General features: G+C 38.9%; 1 protein-coding gene across 2 annotated transcripts in view, besides 3 other annotated features; it reads right to left on the bottom strand.

Annotated features, from left to right (window-relative positions):
- ANKRD36C (ankyrin repeat domain 36C) overlaps window positions 1–12907 on the bottom strand; it is a 142893-nt gene extending 129986 nt beyond the window's left edge. For both annotated transcript variants that reach the window (NM_001310154.3, NM_001393982.1), the window contains exons 1-5: window positions 12595–12907; window positions 8175–8289; window positions 7834–8007; window positions 3339–3445; window positions 1731–1868 (exon numbers count right to left, since the gene is read on the bottom strand). In NM_001310154.3, coding sequence (NP_001297083.1) covers window positions 1731–1868; window positions 3339–3445; window positions 7834–8007; window positions 8175–8289; window positions 12595–12791 — 731 coding nt within the window. In that variant the 5' untranslated portion in view covers window positions 12792–12907. The remainder of the gene's footprint in view (window positions 1–1730; window positions 1869–3338; window positions 3446–7833; window positions 8008–8174; window positions 8290–12594) is intronic.
- Window positions 13044–13093: a silencer, noted in NCBI's record as "silent region_11743". NCBI's record gives its function as "represses an Ori minimal core promoter by ATAC-STARR-seq in GM12878 lymphoblastoid cells {active_cell/tissue: GM12878}" and the evidence as "EXISTENCE:reporter gene assay evidence [ECO:0000049][PMID:35858748]".
- Window positions 13124–13183: a silencer, noted in NCBI's record as "silent region_11744". NCBI's record gives its function as "represses an Ori minimal core promoter by ATAC-STARR-seq in GM12878 lymphoblastoid cells {active_cell/tissue: GM12878}" and the evidence as "EXISTENCE:reporter gene assay evidence [ECO:0000049][PMID:35858748]".
- Window positions 13544–13723: a silencer, noted in NCBI's record as "silent region_11745". NCBI's record gives its function as "represses an Ori minimal core promoter by ATAC-STARR-seq in GM12878 lymphoblastoid cells {active_cell/tissue: GM12878}" and the evidence as "EXISTENCE:reporter gene assay evidence [ECO:0000049][PMID:35858748]".

Consider the following 19267-nt stretch of genomic DNA (forward strand, 5'->3'; position numbering starts at 1 on the left):
CTTGGGCTACAACTACTACTTCTCTACAGACTCTAACTGAATGAGCAGATGTTTGCTAGAATGATGGTTCATCTCCATCAGTGATGTTATCTCCAACTGACATGGAAGACAAAACCCTACTTTCATTTTTTTTAAGTTCCATGAAGTAGATGCAAGTTGACATTTTCTCATTTCCAAGATACATACTAATAAAATATTTACACAACACCCCATGTGTTACTTATCTCCATTCTCAGTTTATAGATCACCTTACACAAATGTTTTTGTAGTGAAAAATCACAATTCTAATATAAGGCCACCCATTTTGTTTTGATTCAAACTATGACTTAGCTAGCCAGCAAACAGTCAAATGACCTTCCCGTGACTGCAAAATATGAAATGCTTCACCATGCTAATTTTCTCCATATTGTTCCAATTTTAGTATTTGTGCTGCCAAAGCAAGCACAAAGCCTAACTTTTACATATAACTGCTGATAAGTCATGGATGAGGGTTAGCTCTGTTAAATCTAACTAACCAACTTGAGACTCAGATAATTCCAATGAATGGCTTCCTGTGAAGTAGAATCCGAAAATATTTTATAAACTTGAGATGGTGATGCAAGCAGCTTGAGAGATCTTCATTATTATAGAAAACAGATCACTTGAGGGGCCAACCACAAGTTGAATGCCTACTACTCTAAGGAAGGATGGCATGGAAGCTTCCACTACCTGAGAAAAGCTTTTACACTGTTTATATAAAAAGTCTCAGGGTACAGATCTGGTAGCAATAAAGAAAAAAACTGTGATCTCTTTCTACAACATTATTTGAATATCTGTGACAGTTTAGAACTATCCCAACTAATATTTGCTTTAAAGAGAAAAAAAAGGGACACAAAAAATAACTCACCATGAAGGTCTAGAAGCCCAGGTTAAAATGTGGGCTTTACATCAGGTTTTGAGTGTGGGTGAAAGTGTCAATTTGCTCCGTATGTATGTTGATAAAGTTAGAATATCCAGGTAACAGAGCAAGGTTCTGCTGTTTTGGAAACAATGGCTGAGCATATAAGTATGTGCAACTGAACTAAAAAAAACAGTTGTAACTTTGAAGCCTTTTTATGGATCAACATGAAGATTGAGGGATGTCAAACAGAAAGGGCATCCTGGTGGCAAAGGTTAATCACTACCAGACTGCAAGAGTACTTTCAATTGTAAGAAAGCAACAACAGAATCAATGAAAACAAAGCAATGATTAGAATGTCCTTTCCCCTTCTCCTTCTGACTTGTAGACACTGATTGTCTTCCTTGGACTTAGGGAACCCCTTAGGTTCTTGAAAAATTCCATGATCAGGCTATAGTAGATGGTCCCCAGTGCACAGCACAAGGTTTTTTGATAAACTGGACATTTTGAGACCCAAATAACTAATTAGAAAAATCAAAGATGTGAAACTACTTTATCCTATGCATAGGGGTTATACTGGAAATAAAATGTACAACATTGGAATCCCTAAGGAGAAAAGTCCTGAAAGTTTCAATATCAAGAATCTTGCACCTACTGCTACTTACCTAGCCTTTTTCTTGATTTCTGGCTGATGAAGTTGCACAACTCTCGAAAACTTAAAAACTTGAAAATTTGTCACTTGAAAACTACTTGAATCAAACTATGCAATCTCACCTGATATATAAGATGCAATTGCTACAATTATTTTAAACTTCAATTTAGTGTTCATTAGCCTTTTTATGTAAAGACTTACACTCTGTTCTTAGCCTCGCTGGCATAATCTTCTGCAAGCTTTCCATACACATCTCGAGAAAACACATCAATATTGTGCTGCAGAAGAAGAATGACTATATCTTTTTCTCCAAGAGTAACAGCATGTATGAGGGCTGATCTAAAATAACAGAGAGGTAATTAAAAACTTTAATGACATTTTAAAAGCTTAGTTTATATACTTTATCAACTTAATATGTTGCCTGTCCATGTAGAATTAACCCAATTACATGTACTAAGAAACAAGCATCTTAGGTGCTCAAGGGTATATCTTTGCAAGTTACCACAAAGGTTAAAAGCAAGGAACAAAAAGGAAGCCTCTTGTCCCACTGTGGTATGACATAAAGTTGCTAACTTAAAGTCCTTTGATGGGCAAGAAACTATGCTCAGGCCACCTATCTACAGTAGGCAAATTTAAGTGAAAAATTATTCATTTCTTCCCTAGTCTGATACTATACATTATAATGCAAAATCAGCTGAAGGGTCAGATAAGAGCTATCTGCAGGCTTAAAACAATAATATTAATAGGAATGCTAATAGTAGTAGTCGTAGCTTCAGTTAATGATGCTCATAAGCATGTGCTAGGCATTTAATTAAACATGATATATAAATATATGTATATGGAGGATAATAATATATCCTTCAAGGGTGGTTGTGTATAAGTAACACCACATATATATAAAATATATATTGTATATTATATATAATCTATAAAATATATAATATACATTCTATATTATATATTATCTATAAAATATATAATATATAGTATATTATATATTATCTATAAAATATATATTGTATATATTATATGATATATGATGTTACTTACATTATATTCTTACATACATATGTGTGTATATGTAATATATGCACATACTTATATGCTCAGCCATTGTTTCCAAAACATCAGCACCTTTCTCTGTTAGCTGGACATTCTAACATTATATATATATATATAAAATGTTACTTACACACAACCACCCTTGAAGGATATATTATTACCCTCCTTTTCACAGAAGAAAACATACTTGGTGATAAGTAATGTTACCAAGGTCACACATCTAGCAAGTGGGAAAGCTAGGGATTAAACCCAGTCCTGTGTGAACCTAAAGCTTGTCTTCATTAAAGTAAAGTTTTATCCATTTAAAGCTATCTTTTCTCCCCCTCCCCATATCAATTAAAAGCAACATCAAAACACAGTAGAAATGAAAAACTAACATGAAACCCCTTTAGCTAATGTAAGATCATACAATCAAAAGCATCACATTATTACATTGTAAATAACACCACATCATACTATAAATAACAAACATCTATCAATATACAGAGCTTTCTATATATAGAAGCCTTTTATGTGTATAATGTCTATATAGAGAGATGAATCCTGCTATACACTGTTCTTTATGTTACTCAGTCCAAATAATTGTTTTTCTAACTAAGGGATGATCTGTGTTGATATTTCTCACTATATCCCAATAATTAAAAGTTAGTCTTCTTATTAATGTAAAATTTGTGACTTCAGTGACCGCTACCACTCTAAAATGACACTCAGGTTTAAAAACAACACAATAAGAACTAAGGTCTGTACCTGCCAAGATAATCAACGGCATTTATATTTGCTTTTTTCTTTAATAAAAATTCCACCATTTTCACTTTTCTTTGACTCACAGCAAGGAACAGTGGCGGATATTCATCCTGTAAAATAACAGCAACAATTTATAATCACAAAATTACATATTTATCAACTGAAATGAAAACCTTATGTAAGATCCTGTGAGCTTCAATATATACAATTGAAAGGTCGTAAGAGGTAGTCCCTTTCTTTTCCCTCCTCGGTGCTTTTCTATGTTCTGCTCCTTCCCCTGGAAACAACCTCCTCTGCCTCACCACAAGAACTCTGGTCATCTCCAAAACTCACTTCAAACATTTCCCAGTTCCAAGAATCTTTGCTTCTGTCCCAGCATTTAGCATGGCATGTTTCAAGGATTTAATTGTTTCCCACCTGAACCAAGAGCTTCTTGAGGGCAGCAGCTGTATTTTTTTCTCTATGTCCTCAAACTCTAAGACACAGTAATAAATGTTTCAGGTATTTTTATTAATGATCTAAATTATTATCTATAGAGCGGTGTTTCTTAAACTATTAATATATTCCAAAGGATATTTACTTTACCAGAATTTGAACATTATACCCCAAAAGAGAGACTCCATGATCACCCATGTTTGAAAAATGTTACAAAACTGTGCATTATGTGTCTAGTATTTGAGAAATCTTTTGAACTTCACCTAATCCCTATTTGTAAATACTTATTTTGGAGAATGTTAACATTTGAGAAATGAGTTTCAGGGATACAGTTGTGAGAGCTTACCAGTAAAGGTGGAGGTTTCCTCTGGGTGACACACACTTGCCTCATTCTCTTCTATCGATGGTGTGAGAATCTCAGGTGACAATGTCAGGAGCTCCTGAGCACCTGAGCACCTGACATTGTCACCTGAGATTCTGACACGATTGACAGTTCATTTGAAGCCTCTCTCTCTTTAATTCGGAGAGCCGGGCTCTGAATTAATAGAGATAGGCTTCGAGTAAACTTTCACTGCTTATTATTAAATAGTCCATGGGTTTTCTCTAGTAATATTTTTATCTTAGCTGTCAGAAAGCTCTGTATGAAATGTTATTCTCAATTACAATCTTAGGACCCTGATGCAAATATTTATGTAATTATAATCTTAGGACCCTGGTACATAACTCCTTTAAAAATTTATTTATATTCTAGTTTCCAATTAATTCTTACCTAACTTTTTTTATTTTAGGTAAAATATCAATCAGAAATAAAAACACAATGGCTTATCAATTAAAGCTCTAATAATGACTTATATGTATTATTTATAGCATAGTGAAAGCCACTAAATTATTTGCATCATTTATTTATTTATTTATTTATTTATTTATTTATTTATTTATTTGAGATGGAGTCTCGCTCTGTCGCCCAGGCTGGAGTGCAGTGGTGCCATCTCGGCTCACTGCAACCTCCGCCTCCCGGATTCAAGCACGAGAAATTCTCCTGCCTCAGCCTCCCGAGTAGCTGGGACTACAGGCGTGTGCCACCACACCCAGCTAATTTTTTGTATTTGTAGTAGAGAGGGGGTTTCACCGTGTTAGCCAGGATGGTCTCAATCTTCTGACCTCGTGATCTACCTGCCTCTGCCTCCCAAAGTGCTAGGATTACAGGCGTGAGCCACTGCGCTCGGCCAATTACTTGCATTTTTAGGAGGCAATGCTGAAGAGAAAAATATAATGTTGTCTGCAATATGCATAACCTATGCAACTATACCGTGATTCACCTTAAAAAGCTTACATGCATTCTAATGGGAAGATGATTATTTATGGTATGTATAAAGATAAATAGTTTATAAAACACCACCATCTAAATTCAAAAGTTCAACCCGATTACCAAAGGATTTATATAAAATATAGACTCTACATTTAAATAAATATAAAATGTCTTGAAAACCTTGAAATATTTACTAAAATATATTATAAAACAGGGCTTGTAAAGTCATCCCTACAGAGGCAAGGGAGATGACCTGAGGAAGTGAAGTACCTAGGTAGGCACAGTAGCAAAATGGAGACCACATGCCTCATAGAAAGGGGCAACCTCTGCACAGCATCCAAAACCTGAGATAGGCTCAAGGGACACCAGATTGGATTCTTGAAGAGAAGCCTGGAATCCAGATCTGTGCACGAGTCTCCTAAACTTTCCATGTTGAGACAATTTGTAGAGGCAAACTAAACACATCTATGGGACACATTTGGACTATAGACCTTGTATTTTTATATTTGCTGTGGATATGTCTCCAAGCGATTGTATGTAACGCAAGTATTTTCATGTAAAATACTTCCTTTCTTTAGTTTCAGATTTTTTTTTCCAAAATAGGCCCAAGAATGCAATAAAAATTGTTACTAAGAGTCATAATACCCACTTTGAGCACTTTTACAACATTCATTCATTTATAATTTATGTTTAATTTTCCCAGATTGTTCACCAAATGGATAATTAGTTCATAGGACTGCTGCAACTAAATTATTAAAATAATATTAACTTATAATTCTAGTTTCTATATTGTAACCTCATTTTTTTTATTTTAGGTAAAATATAAATCAGAAATAAAAATACAATGGCTTATCAATTAAAGCTCTAATAATGACCTATATGTATTCTCTGTATTCTTACTAACTTCATGGTTTTCAGTGTTTAAAACTGCTATCCTGATTATGCCACATTTCTAGGTACTTAACTGACATACTGAGGCAGTCCATAATAGAGCTTCAGCTTTAAAAAAAGGTTTAGAATTTTTTACTATTGTAATTGAGAGAACCCCGCTTTTAATAATGATGTATTGACCTAATCACCAGAATGATAACAAAGAGACTCAGAGTCCTGAAAGAGTCAGTCTCTACTTATTAAAAGAGTCCACAATAGCAAATTTCTAATGACCCTATGAATGGCAGTGAATAAGTGATGGTGGCAAAGAAAAGGTGTTATTCTCATGCTGATAGATACTGCAAATAATAGTCCTTTTCACTTCCCAACCACAGAGGTAGAGACAGGTAAAAGTCAGGCCAATATTATTGGAAAGGAGAAATTTAAAGGAAGCAGCACCTATCTCCAGGTCTTCTAGAGATTTTTTGTGTGTTTGAGATATGGGAATTTATATTACACTTATCTATTCAGTGGTTCTTAACCAGCAGCGTATCAGTGTCTCAAGAAATGTTTTATTGTTGTTGTTGTGTTGTTGCTGTTAGAGGCAGTGTCTTAATCTGTTGCTCTGGCTAGAGGCACCACCATGCCCAGCTTCAAGGAAATATTTTAAAACATACATGTCCAGTAATATTTAATAGTAAATATTAGATTTACTATATTAAAATCTTCAGGGGATATCCTAGACTTAGAGATTTGCTTTTAATTTCCCCAGGTTACTGCCATGCACAATTCTAACTGCGAACCAGCACAGTTGATAATCACTTCAGTCTCATCTCTCACTCACATGGCAAATTCCCTTTATCGTTTGGGATTTGGCTGAAAAGAGGAAAGAGCAAAAGATAGAGCCATTCACTGAAAACTTCATTTACTTTTCCTGGGTAGGGGTAGGGAAGAGACTAGTAAGCTCAAAATCCAACTTGATTTTACTATTTATAAGCTCCGTATCTCCCACCTGCCCATCAAGACATTCTGGACTTGAGAGTAGAGTTTAGATGCTTATCTGAGTGGCTGTTTCTGCCAGAATTGAATAATGTCCATTAATTATGTGTTCTTCTCTCTGCTGAACTGTGTGCCGCTTCATCACCACTATTCACTGCCAACCTGGTTTCCTCAGAGTCCTACCAAAATTGATCCCTGGGCAATTTCACAACTCACAAACTCTTTCCCAAAGTAAGAATAATCATCCCCAAAACTGAAGCGATCCTTGTCTAAACATATAAATTGAAAACAAACAACAAAACACACAAAAACACTCTCCACAGTATTTTCCCTCATTACCTAATTTCCAAATTAGCTTGTGCATTTCTGATTGCTCTCCTTTTCTTCATTTTTCCCTCTTAAGCCTTTCCACAGAGGAATCACTTTCAGATGAAATCACCTTCACATACAATACTTGTCAACAGCAACAAGATGTACATTTATTGTGAAATTCTTTAATTTTCTTTGAAATTTAAAATAAAGCCTATTTATAAGGGCCAATTTTACTTTCCTGTGTCACTTCACACTGATTAGAAAAAGAGTAATTTAGTGGAAAAACACTTAACTATTACCTTTCCCAAATTCAGTTGTCATGAATTCCAAATTTATTGTAATTCATGTTTGTATAATTATTTACCATAAGTGCATGAAAAATAGCTGTTCCTTATAATGCTTCTTTAAAAGTTCCAAAATTTAAAGTAAAATCTTAGACAGTTAAGGCATTTCAAAATATTTTCATTCAAGGAATGTTTGAGCTTCCAAATATGAAAAATTGACCCTTACATGTGTCAATGTTAAAATAAATGCATTTCAGATAGTTTGAAAATAACATTGGTTGACCTATACCTCGCTGCATTCTTCAATATTTGCACCATATGAAAGAAGTTTTTCTATCATGGATGTATCTTCATTATACACAGCGTAGTGCAGAGCAGTCCTTCCAAAGACATCCGTAATATTTGGATCGGCGCCATTTTGCAGCAGAAGAGTTGCACAAGCCTCCTGCCTCAGTTGTACAGCCTGTCAGTATTAGACCGAGAAACATGCAAATATTGAAAAATCAAAATAAACACTCCGTAGGATTTCCTACTAGTTATATGGTGGTATTCCAATGAGATAAATTCATTTTATCCTATGTACTTCAACCAAATCCATCTCATGCTCAAAAAGAGTCAGCTACTATGTACCTTGATCAGAGGTGTCCTGTCTTCACGGTCGCAGAGGTTAAGCTCACATCTTCTGGACACCAGGAGATGTACCATTTCCGGTTGGCCAGTGGCACAGGCCAAATGTAGGGCGGTCCTGTGAGAGTGACAGGACTTTTTAAAACATGTAACTGTAAGCATTAATTAGCATGTTATTTCTCTGTCTTCAAAACAAATATGTAATTTTCTTGTGAAGAAAGTACATTTGTTAGCGCTTATTACCACATTAATGAAAGAGCAGGCTATTTAATAGAAAAGCCTTGGCTTTTGGATTCAGTTTAATTGGGGCTTAAAATTTACTGTAAGCTCTGTCACTTAGCTGTTATTTAGCCTTTCTTTGCTTCAATTTCCTTATCAATAAAATATATAAGAGAATAGTAGCTAGCCCACAGAACACTGCTGTGATGCTTACATAAGAATCTATGCACAGCATTTAGAACACTTTCTAACACAAATAACAGCTCAATAATTTTTAGATATTACTACTTACAAAGACTTTTTTTTTTTTTTTTTTTTTTTTTTTGAGACGGAGTCTCGCTCTGTCGCCCAGGCCGGACTGCGGACTGCAGTGGCGCAATCTCGGCTCACTGCAAGCTCCGCTTCCCGGGTTCACGACATTCTCCTGCCTCAGCCTCCCGAGTAGCTGGGACTACAGGCGCCCGCTACCGCGCCCGGCTAATTTTTACAAAGACATTTTAATTAAGTAAAATGATACAATCATATCTACATTGAGGTATCTATTAAAGATTAGATGTATCGTTGTATTTCAGTCATTCTCAGATGCTCATTTTCTCACTATTCTCTTATATAAGCTACTATTCTCTTATATATTAACATCTCCTAACATTGGAATACTGTTTACAATTCATTATTTATTACATTTATAACTGGCAACATTTTAAACATTATCTTATTGATATATAAAGTAACGTGGCATCACCCAATCCGTGATGCCTTACATTAAGTGGGATACAGTTCATAGAACAGGCAGTTCTACTCATATAATTGGCACCTAAATAAAGTACTGTGGAAAAAGAAGGCAAAAAAAAAAAAAACAACAAATTTTTAAAACAAAGTAATTCTTACTTTAATTTTCAAAATAAAATAATCCAAAGAAAACTCAGGATTCAAATGAATAGGTATGGCTCATTTTTTTCAATACTTACAGAATGTTATGTAAATTAGGTATTTGCAATGATTAATAGTAGTATTTGAGACTGTCATAAGTTTCTGAAATGGCAGTTAAAGGTTATCTTTCACTATTTTCTAACTTCAGAATTGCTTTTGTTTAAAAAAAAAAAAAGGAATAAAAGATCCAATTGGGATTCAGTCCTAATGCTTCCATTTTAAATCTCAGCTTGCTCAGGCTGGGCAGGTAAACATGAAGTTGTTAAGGGTGGAAGAGTCCTGAGAGATGGTGGAATGTGTCTGCTACATAATAGGTATTCAGGTTATGCTTGATGAATAACTGGATTGAAAGAATGCATACATACAGTTGGGAAGTTTATTATGAAAAAAACATAAATTAAAGCAGTGCTTTTGGAATAGTGATAATCACTTATATTTGCTCATTTTCATTTTCATGAGGACACTGATAAACTAAAATAATTAATTTAAAATTGTTTGCTTATATGTAATAAAACTATAATAAAAACCTATTTATATACTAAAATCTATGCATAATAAAATAATCAAGCACAAATAAAAATATTCCCTCTGCCTCTGAAGAGGCTAAAAGTTCACAGAATATACCAATAAACAAAAAAATAAAAATAAGGCCAGGCACAGTGGCTCACACCTGTAATCCCAGAACTTTGGGAGGCCGAGGCGGGGGGATCACCTGAGGTCAGGAGTTTGAGACCAGCCTGGCCAACATGGTGAAACCCCGTCTTTACTAAAATATACAAAAATTAGCTGGCCATGGTGGCACACATCTGTAATCCCAGCTACTCAGGAGGCTGAGGTGGGAGAATCACTTGAACCTGAGAGGCAGATTGCAGTGAGCCAAGATCATGCCACTGCACTCCAGGCTGGGCAACAGGGTAAGACTCCATCACAAAAATAAACAAACAAGCAAAGAAATAAATAATAAAATAAAATAGAAACTGAGAATTATTTTTTCTTTGCAAGATTTATATTTCTTCTTTTCCCAAGGATAATTTCATTAATAAAACACATTTACTAGAAGTTTTAAACATACTGATCATTTATACATCACGGATAAGAAAAAATATCACAATACCCCTGCCAGAAAAGAAGAAATGTTATATTTTGTACACATATTTGGCTTACAAACACCATAGATTGTTTGTGTGTATGTATAATCAAACCAACTTTTTTTCAGAGTACATCTTCACACCTCAACATACATCTGTATCTACTGACATCTGCAAAGGTCCCATATTGTCCCATCCTATGGATGCACTGAAATTTATTGATAAATTTATAAAATTTATAAAATCCATTATAAGGGGTTTTCCAAATACATTGCTATTTTAAGCAGTGCTGAGAAAAACAAATTGCATGTATCTCTATTTCCTAGAGATATTTTAGTATAATGGAATTGATGGGTGAAGGGCACATACATTTTTACAGTGTGATACTTACCAACAAATTGTCTATTTGAAAAGTCATCAGAAATGTAAACTTTCAACAGCAGTATATGTACTGCTACCCTTTACCCTCACAAATTTGTGGATAGAAAATAGTATTTCATTCCTTTTTTAACTTAAATACCTTCTCCTCCCAGGAACACTAAATATTTTTTCCCATGTGCATAGGTTGCTTGAATATCTGAAAAAAAAATGCTTTGCTCTATTTTAAATGAGAGCTCTTGTTTATTTGAAGAATTCTCTGTAAAATGAAAATCACTTTTTTATCTAATATGTATATACACATATTGTCTTTTAATTTTTTCTTATAAACTGGATTTTTTTTATTTTGCTAAATCGACCTTCAGAATGTGTGCTTGTGATATTTGTAGGAATATAAACATGAATCAATATAAGTAGGCATTTGTGGTTTTTTCTGTTATCTCTTATTTTGTGCATTTAAAGTTTTTAATCTACATTCCATAACGAACTTATTTCTGTGACATAAAAATCTAGCCAGATTTCTCCAAATAGTTAGCAGGCACTTCATTTATGAGTAATTCATCTTTTCCTACTAATATGAAATGTCACCATTATCCAATTCTATTAGATTGGTGCAAAGGCAATTGCAGTTTTCGCCATTACTTGTAATTGCGGCAAAAACCGCAATTGCTTTTGCACCAACCTAATAAATTCTTACACATATTGGTGTGTTCCTGGATTTTCTAACCTGTTCCATTCACTGATTTGTTGTTTCAGCTGTTAGTAAATAACTTGTGGAAATTAACAGCACATTTTCATATCTAGAAAGGCAAGTCTTTTTTGACTCCATTTCAAAAGTTTTCTTAATGTCGTCACAATAGTAAAAGACAGCATGAGTAATTCAAAAATATTAACACTTTGATAACTTTATTTGGATTATGTAAAATTTATAAACATAGAAAGAGCTCAGAACTTTAGAAAAATGTGTCTTTCTATTCAAGAACACAGACCATCTTCCCACTTCAAAGTTTCCCTCTAAGGTCCCTCAGTGAAAACCAAATTGACATAGGTGTCCATTGATATCAAATAAATATTGGATTTTTATCCAAAGAATTTTTAGTCAGGAAGTTGATATATTATGGAAATGATTTCTCTCATTATGCACCTTTCCATAATGTATGTAACATTATGCTTTAAAACGTGTACATTAAAAATAAAACGCTGTACATGCTGAATTTTATTAGTGAAATCACTTTAAAATGATTTATAAAGAAGCAGCATGGTGAGTGATTGGAAACCAGCTGAAGTTTTGTTTTTGTTTTGCTGCTTGTGAAAATGACCTGGGTGCTCGCCCCTGCCAAGGTTTCCACATCCCAGGTGCGGCTGAGCCTGCCAGGAAAGAAAGTCCAGCCCCTTTGGTGACAGGACTCGCCCCCCTCACCTCTGCACCCCTTTCCGCCACCCCATTCACCCCCACACCTCACCCCCACCTCCAGTCCTCTATCCCATTGAACCCTCACCCCATCTCCCCACCCCACACCCCCTACCCCCCAAGCCTTCATTCCGTCCACCTCAGCCCATTCACACCCCCACCCCATGCACCCCCTACTCCCCACTCCCATCCCCCAACTCACTCCACACCCCGCCACCCCATATACCGCCACTCCCCAGGCCCCGCTCCACTCACTCCCACCCCAGCCAGGCACCCCCTAGCCCCCGTCCATACCCCGAGCCCCGGACCATCCGCCCCGCAGCCCTCAGCCTGGAAAGGGGTACTTCTCCACATCCACAGGCCTCCTCCCGCAGCCCCGGCTCCCGGCCCCCATTACCTTTCCTTCCTGTCTCTCTTATTGATGTCATAACGCGTGAGCAGAACGAACTTCAGTTCCTCCAGATCACGATAGAAGACAGCTCTGTGGATCCCCTTCAGATGATACGGTTTAATGGGGTATTGGGGAAATAAGAAGCCATCCGAGCACAAGCGGTCCCTGAGGGTGGGCCACCTCTTCGGCTCCTTGTCATCCATAATGGTCGGCTGCAAATTGTAGCCTGCAGCCGTATTTCAGCTCGCCTTCGGGGATCGCCGCCTCCGAAGAGCAACAACAGGCAAAGCAGTCTGTCCACGGACCTTCGCACAGACTCTCAGCGCCTCCCGCCTCTCAGCAGAAACGCCCAACAGAAGGGTTAGAACCAGCGAGCACGCGCACCTTAGCCGGCCCTGCCCAACAGGCCCGAGGCAGAGAAACCGCCCTAGCAGCTCTCGCGCGCCCAGTGCAGGCGGCGGTTGCTGCGGAGGTGCCGCGGGAGGGCGGGGCTCCCTGGAGCGCGAGGCGCGCCCTGCCCCAGGGCCTGTTTAACTGTCGCCCGCGCGCTCTTCTCTTCCACAGGCTCCCGACGCTCGGAGCCCCCCGCGCTGGGCCCTCTGCAGCCCAGGGATGGGGTTGAGTGGTGCTTCTCCGCCTAGTGCCACCGCTGGGCCCACAGCCCGACATCGCCACTGCGTCGCCCCCGGGGTCCGCGCTGATGGGTGCGAGGCGGGAGGACGGGATCTGGGGTTGCCACAGCTGCAGCCAGCGCACCACTTGCAGGCGGCACTGCAGCTCGGGCTCCGGCGGGGGCTGGCGGGGCTCCCGTGGGATGGCCTCCTGAGCCCTGAGTGCGCCGCCATCCGGCCGGAGGGTGCGCGCCTCCTGCACCCCCGGCCGAAGCCCATGCCCGGCGCTCCTGCCGCAGACTGCCTGACTTGCCGCGGCCAGGCTGGCCCCGGGGTCCGCGCGGCTGGAGGCGCAGGCCTGGTCGGGGATTCCCAATCCTCGGGGACCCCTGCTCCATGTGCTGGTGGCGGCTGCAGCTGCAGCGCCCGTGGGCTGACGTGGCTTCCCGGAGCTGCGGCCGGCCAGCGCCCAAGGGCCCACAGGCTGCGCTGCCCTTGCCAGCTGCTTCTGACCCGCGCCCGGAGCGCAGGACCTGGCGCTTGGCACTCTGCAGCCACCGGGATGAGGCTGAGCGCCGGTTTTCGGCCTCGTGGCGCCGCTGGGGCCACAGCCTGACTTCACCACCCCGTCGCCCAAGTCCTATGATGGGCAGGTGTGAGGAGGGGCAATCGGGGTTCCCAAGGCTGCTGCCTGCATGCCACTCCGTGAGGAAGTTGAAATACATGGTCTCTAAGATTCCTTCCAGCTCTTCACCTCATGAGACATATAAATCAAGTAACATTCGTTATTGTGATTAGAAAAGCTGCATTTACACACGTTAGCCACTAGATGGGGACGTGCGATTGTTACAATGCTGAAGGTTTCCCGTATTTCTTTATTTTTTATTTGGCCGCTAGAGGGCACGCCTGCACTGCACTTAAAGTTGACTACTTTCAAGGAAAGACAAAGGAATTCTTGGATTTCTCCATTTTCCTCATCACCTGTGCTTATCAGAGAATTCCAGGGGCAAGCTACCCTTTCCAATTCATCACTAACTTATAAACAAAATTCTAAGGAGTAAGGAATGCTTCTTACTTACTTCCTATAACATACGTAAGAATGAACGCTCAAAATAAAAGTAATTTATTTAAAACTTGTGTTGAGTAATTATAACTGCAAAATTTTTGCTCATGTTTTTCATATGCTGTTCATTTGCAAATTATTAGAAATCTACATATTCTGTTCATCTCAGCATTATTTATAACAGGGAAAAATTAGACACTAGCCAAAAATCTAAAAACAGGGAACAGTAAGGAAAAAGCAAATGGTTCTTTAAATCATCATCACTAAAAGTGGTTGTGACTTAAAATAATGACATAAAAGATGCTTCTACGTTGTTGAGTAAAACATCAAGATAAATTTAAAATTCTATTTCGAGCTTAACATATTCATTTAAAAAGAGAAAAGAAATTTTAGAGAGTTTATCTTGTTGGATTATCGGATGTTATTTTTCTCTTTTTAATGCCATATACTTTTCAAATTTTCAGTGGGCTGGTATTACTTTTGTATTTAAAAAAGAAAAATATAAGGAAAAAGAAACCTGTCACACACTTTCTAGTGGATTTTACTGATCAGTCATCTCTGTATTTCTGGCATCAGCAAACTGAGCCAGAAACTCAGTGCCTCCCATTTCTTTCTTTTTTTTTTTTTAGACGGAGTCTTGCTCTGTTGCCCAGGCTAGAGTTCAGTGGCTCAAACTTGGCTCGCTGCAACCTCTGCCTCCCCGGTTCAAGTGATTCTTCTGCCTCAGCCTCCCAATTAGCTGGGATTACAGGTGCCCGCCACCACACCCGGCTAATTTTTGTATTTTAGTAGAAACGGGGTTTCACCATCTTGACCAGGCTGGTCTCGACTCCTGACCTTGTGACCCACTGGCCTCTGCCTCCCAAAGTGCTGGGATTAACAGACCTGAGCCACCGCGCCAGGCCAAGTGCCTCCCATTTCTTGTATTCACCTTTAAAACTCCTGCAATGAAGGACTCCCTCCTCCCTCATCTAACCTATTATGTGTGTGGTGAGTTCTGACTATGATATCATTCCTGATGTGAAACCGAAGTCTCCCTCTTCTAATTCCATCCACTGGTTCAGTTCTGCCTTCTGACAGAGTCCACGCCAGACTTCACATTTCTCCCAATCGTCTTTGTCCTACAAGGGCTTTCTATTCTTCAAGCTAAAGAGATACCAGTGATTCCATTCATTCATTCAGTTAACATTTAGGGGCCACATCTTGTGCTATGTCCTGAGATTTGCCAATGAGCAGAGCTCAGAGTATTGAAAAGACAAACACATACACCAGGCATTTTACTATGCTGTGTTGTGTGCATGACAGGAGCACACAGGGCATGCAGGCACCAGTGAGAAGGGCCATTTACCAGACTTGAGAGGTCAGCAAAGGTACTCTGAGGAAACACCTTCTAAACTGAGAGCTGGAAAGAGTGAGACAGGAAAGCGTAAGAGGTAGCGTTCTGAGGAGGAAATCTCCGAGGTGGGACAGGGATGCGTGTGGAGAGAATGCCCTTCCCATCCCCACTCTTCATGAAGTCTGTACTCTATCAGGGTCTCTCTGCCCTGTGAGCTGCTTGAGGACAAAGACTGTTTTATAAAAATTTTTATTTCCTCCCTCTGTCTTCCTTGAACACCTAGCCCAGTGCCTGGAACATAAGAAACCATAATGAATTTTTGTTGGATGAGTGAAGAGTGCTGAGTAGAGCAGAAATGTCACATGCCTCAGTTTAAATATGGGTCATCAGTTTTCTTTCTTTTTTAACATAGAAGTCAAGACTTGATGATCTCTTACAGCTTCAAGATACCATTAAAGATATAATCATCCTCATGTACTTGAGCTTTGTTTTCACCCATTATGTTATGACTGCTGTCCATTGTTCCATGACACAATTCTCCATCTTTCTTCATTTTCTTCCATTTCAATTAACTCATTTATTTACATATGGGAATGGAACATATAAAATCCACAAGTAAGACTTCCCAGATCCTCAGCTTCTTTCTCTGGCATTAGCCACTGTTTCTAGTTTCATGAGCATCTGCTATGGTTTGAATGTATCCCCTCCAGAAATCAAATATTACATATGTGATAGTATTAAGAGTTGGGGCCTTTTGGAGGTGATTAGGCTATGAGGACTCTGCCTTCATGAATAGGATTAGATATGCTTAGAAAAAGGCATGATGGAGGAAGTTAGACTCCTTTTGCCCTTCAGTCTCCTGCCATGTGAGGACACAGCACTCCTCCTCTCTGGAAGACGCAGCCTTCAAGGCGACATCTTGGAAACAGAGACCAGACCCTCACCTGACAATGAATCTAATGGCCCCTGGATTTTGGACTTCCCTGCCTCCAGAACTGTGGAAAAAAACAAATTTCTGTTCTTTATAAATTACTCAGTCTATGGTATTCTCTCATAGCAGCCCAAAACAGACAAGACTCTAGGAAATCAATTTGTATTCAGCACATCAACAAAATTCTTTACAAATGGGACTCCCCCCAATAGGTGGGTGTCACTAAAGAGAGGTGCCCATAAGCATGAGACAATGACCACATGGCATGAGCAACGAACTACGATGAATGAGCACATGTTACCACCACTAAAGACAAAACTTACATGACTAGATGACAACAAAATAATTTCTTATAATGAATTTCTCATTGTATTTTTTCTTAACCTTCCCTCCATTTAGTCAGGAATCTGGCTCTGACTCACACCTGAAGGACAGACAAGGACTTTTGTTTCCAAAAGCATAAACTGAAAGGAGAACTCACAGAGCCTACAGAAAAGAGAAAAGACATTTGTCAACAGAGAGTGTTTATTTATCTTTTTCAACTGGAGGGAAAGAGCAGGGATGAGGAGAGGAGATGCCTTCGGTATTGGAAAAAAACAATATTGTAGGGTTTTCCATCCCGGTACTAACAAAATTATAAAGGCCAATAAGAAATGACTGATAGCAATAAAACAAGGAAAGGGGCATAGCCTAATACAGTAAAGAAACTGGTGACTCAGAGAAAGGAAAAGAACATTCTGGAGCAAAATAGAGAGGGACAGCATTTAGCTCCTAAATTCCTGTTCCATCCTCCAGCCCCACCCTCCACATCCACCTCCAAATCCGGTGATTTTGAGCATAGTGAAGCACACTGACACTGAAGGGTGTCCTTATACGATCCTCCCCTTGCTGGTGACTGGTGGAAACAGATGCTGGGGAGAAACAGGAGAAACAAGGTGGAGGGACATCAGGGTGCACTTCCTCTAAGAGAAGTCAAGGCTACACATGGAATGAGGAAAGCAATCCAATGCCCAGGGGAGTCCTCATGGTACTGAAACAGGAAGAGCCATCTGTTGCCCAAGCATTCTAACCAATGCTCAGAGCCCTCAGCTGCCCTTTCCCTCTACTGTCTCCCCATTCCCTTGGGCCACCAGGAAAAGTGGAGATGTTAATGGGCTCCAATCAAAGGCCACCATGAACACACCTGTAGTTGAAGAAGTGAGTTATTACTGGTTAAGTGAAGGAGAATACAAACTACAGGAAACGGTGTGGTGTCTCACTAAGAGGACGTCAGAAAGGACTTAGAGGATTTGGGGTTGTGTTAGGCAATAATCTGGGAGAAGGGTTTAAGGAAATGGGGCTTTGTTCTGAATTGGGTGTTGTCAGGAAGTGGGGGTAATTCTAGCATAGCAGGGTATCTTAATAAATCTTATGTAGAAAGATGTAAACCTGTATTAAAGCCTTAATGGGTTAAGGCTATAATTGGTAAAGAACGTTAAAGCTGTAGTTGGTGAAGAAACAGTAGTTACTCATCTTAGCTAGAATAGAGAGACATTGGTCATTTGTGTGATATGAACAATGCTCATGCTTTGCTCATGCTCAGACATGATTATGAAGACGTCTTGTTTTTGTCTTAAGTATTGGCACAAAATGATATGGTATGAAGCAGATGTTCTATGGAATTGTTTATGCTCACAAGAGAACATCAACATCCATCTGTGGGTGCCAGGCAGCTCACAGCATCGCCAATGCCCAGCAGATAGGACCAGGTCAACTCCTGTCTGCCAGACACACCTCTTCTCTTTCTCAGAGGAACACAAAATACCCAATGCTCATTCTGTAGCTCAACAGGAAAACACATTCTCAGGTGAGCTGGAAAGAAAGTCGCTCATCTAATAATGACACAATTTTAAAAGACTGGTCAATTCAACTACATCAAAGACAAACAAAACAAAATTTTTTGCATGGCAAGAAAAGACTACCACCACAGTCAGAAAACAAATGAAAGAGTGGGAAAATAGGTTTGCAACTTATATCATAGACAAAGGGGTGCTATCTCTAATATACAAATAGTTCTTACAAATTTAGGGGAAATAAACCAACAATATATTGAAAAAATTAAAAAGATACACAAAGAGATTTCATAGGAAAATAATTGGAAGTTGATCTTAAACACATGAAAAGTTACGCAACATGGCTCATAAGAAGATAAGTGTAAATTAAACATATTTCTATGCTCTGTTGTTAGGTGCATACACACATGCAGGATTGTCATATCTTCTTGGAGAATTGACTCCTTTTTCTTAGGTAATGTCCTTCTTTATCTATGGTAACTTTTATTGCTCTTTAAGGCTGCTCTGCCTGAAATTAATAGAGATATGTTGGGGGTGTTTTGATAAGTGTTAATATGGTATATCTTTCTGTATCCTTTTAATTTATGCAGGTGCATCTTTATATTTAGAATGTGTTTCTTGTAGACTACATATAGTTGAGTCCGACTTTTTAATCTACACTGACAATCTCTTTTATTTTATTTCTTTCTTCCTACCTTTTATTTTAGGTTCAAGGGGTACATGCGAAGGTTTTTTTTTCTCATATGATCTTTTATTATACTTTAAGTTCTAGGGTACCTGTGCACAACGTGCAGGTTCATTACATATGTATACATGTGCCATGTTGGTGCACTGCACCCATTAACTTGTCATTTACATTAGGTGTATCTCCTAATGCTATCCCTCCCCCCTCCCCTCACCCCATTG

Source organism: Homo sapiens, chromosome 2, assembly GCF_000001405.40.
Source record: "Homo sapiens chromosome 2, GRCh38.p14 Primary Assembly".
Taxonomy (NCBI): domain Eukaryota; kingdom Metazoa; phylum Chordata; class Mammalia; order Primates; family Hominidae; genus Homo; species Homo sapiens.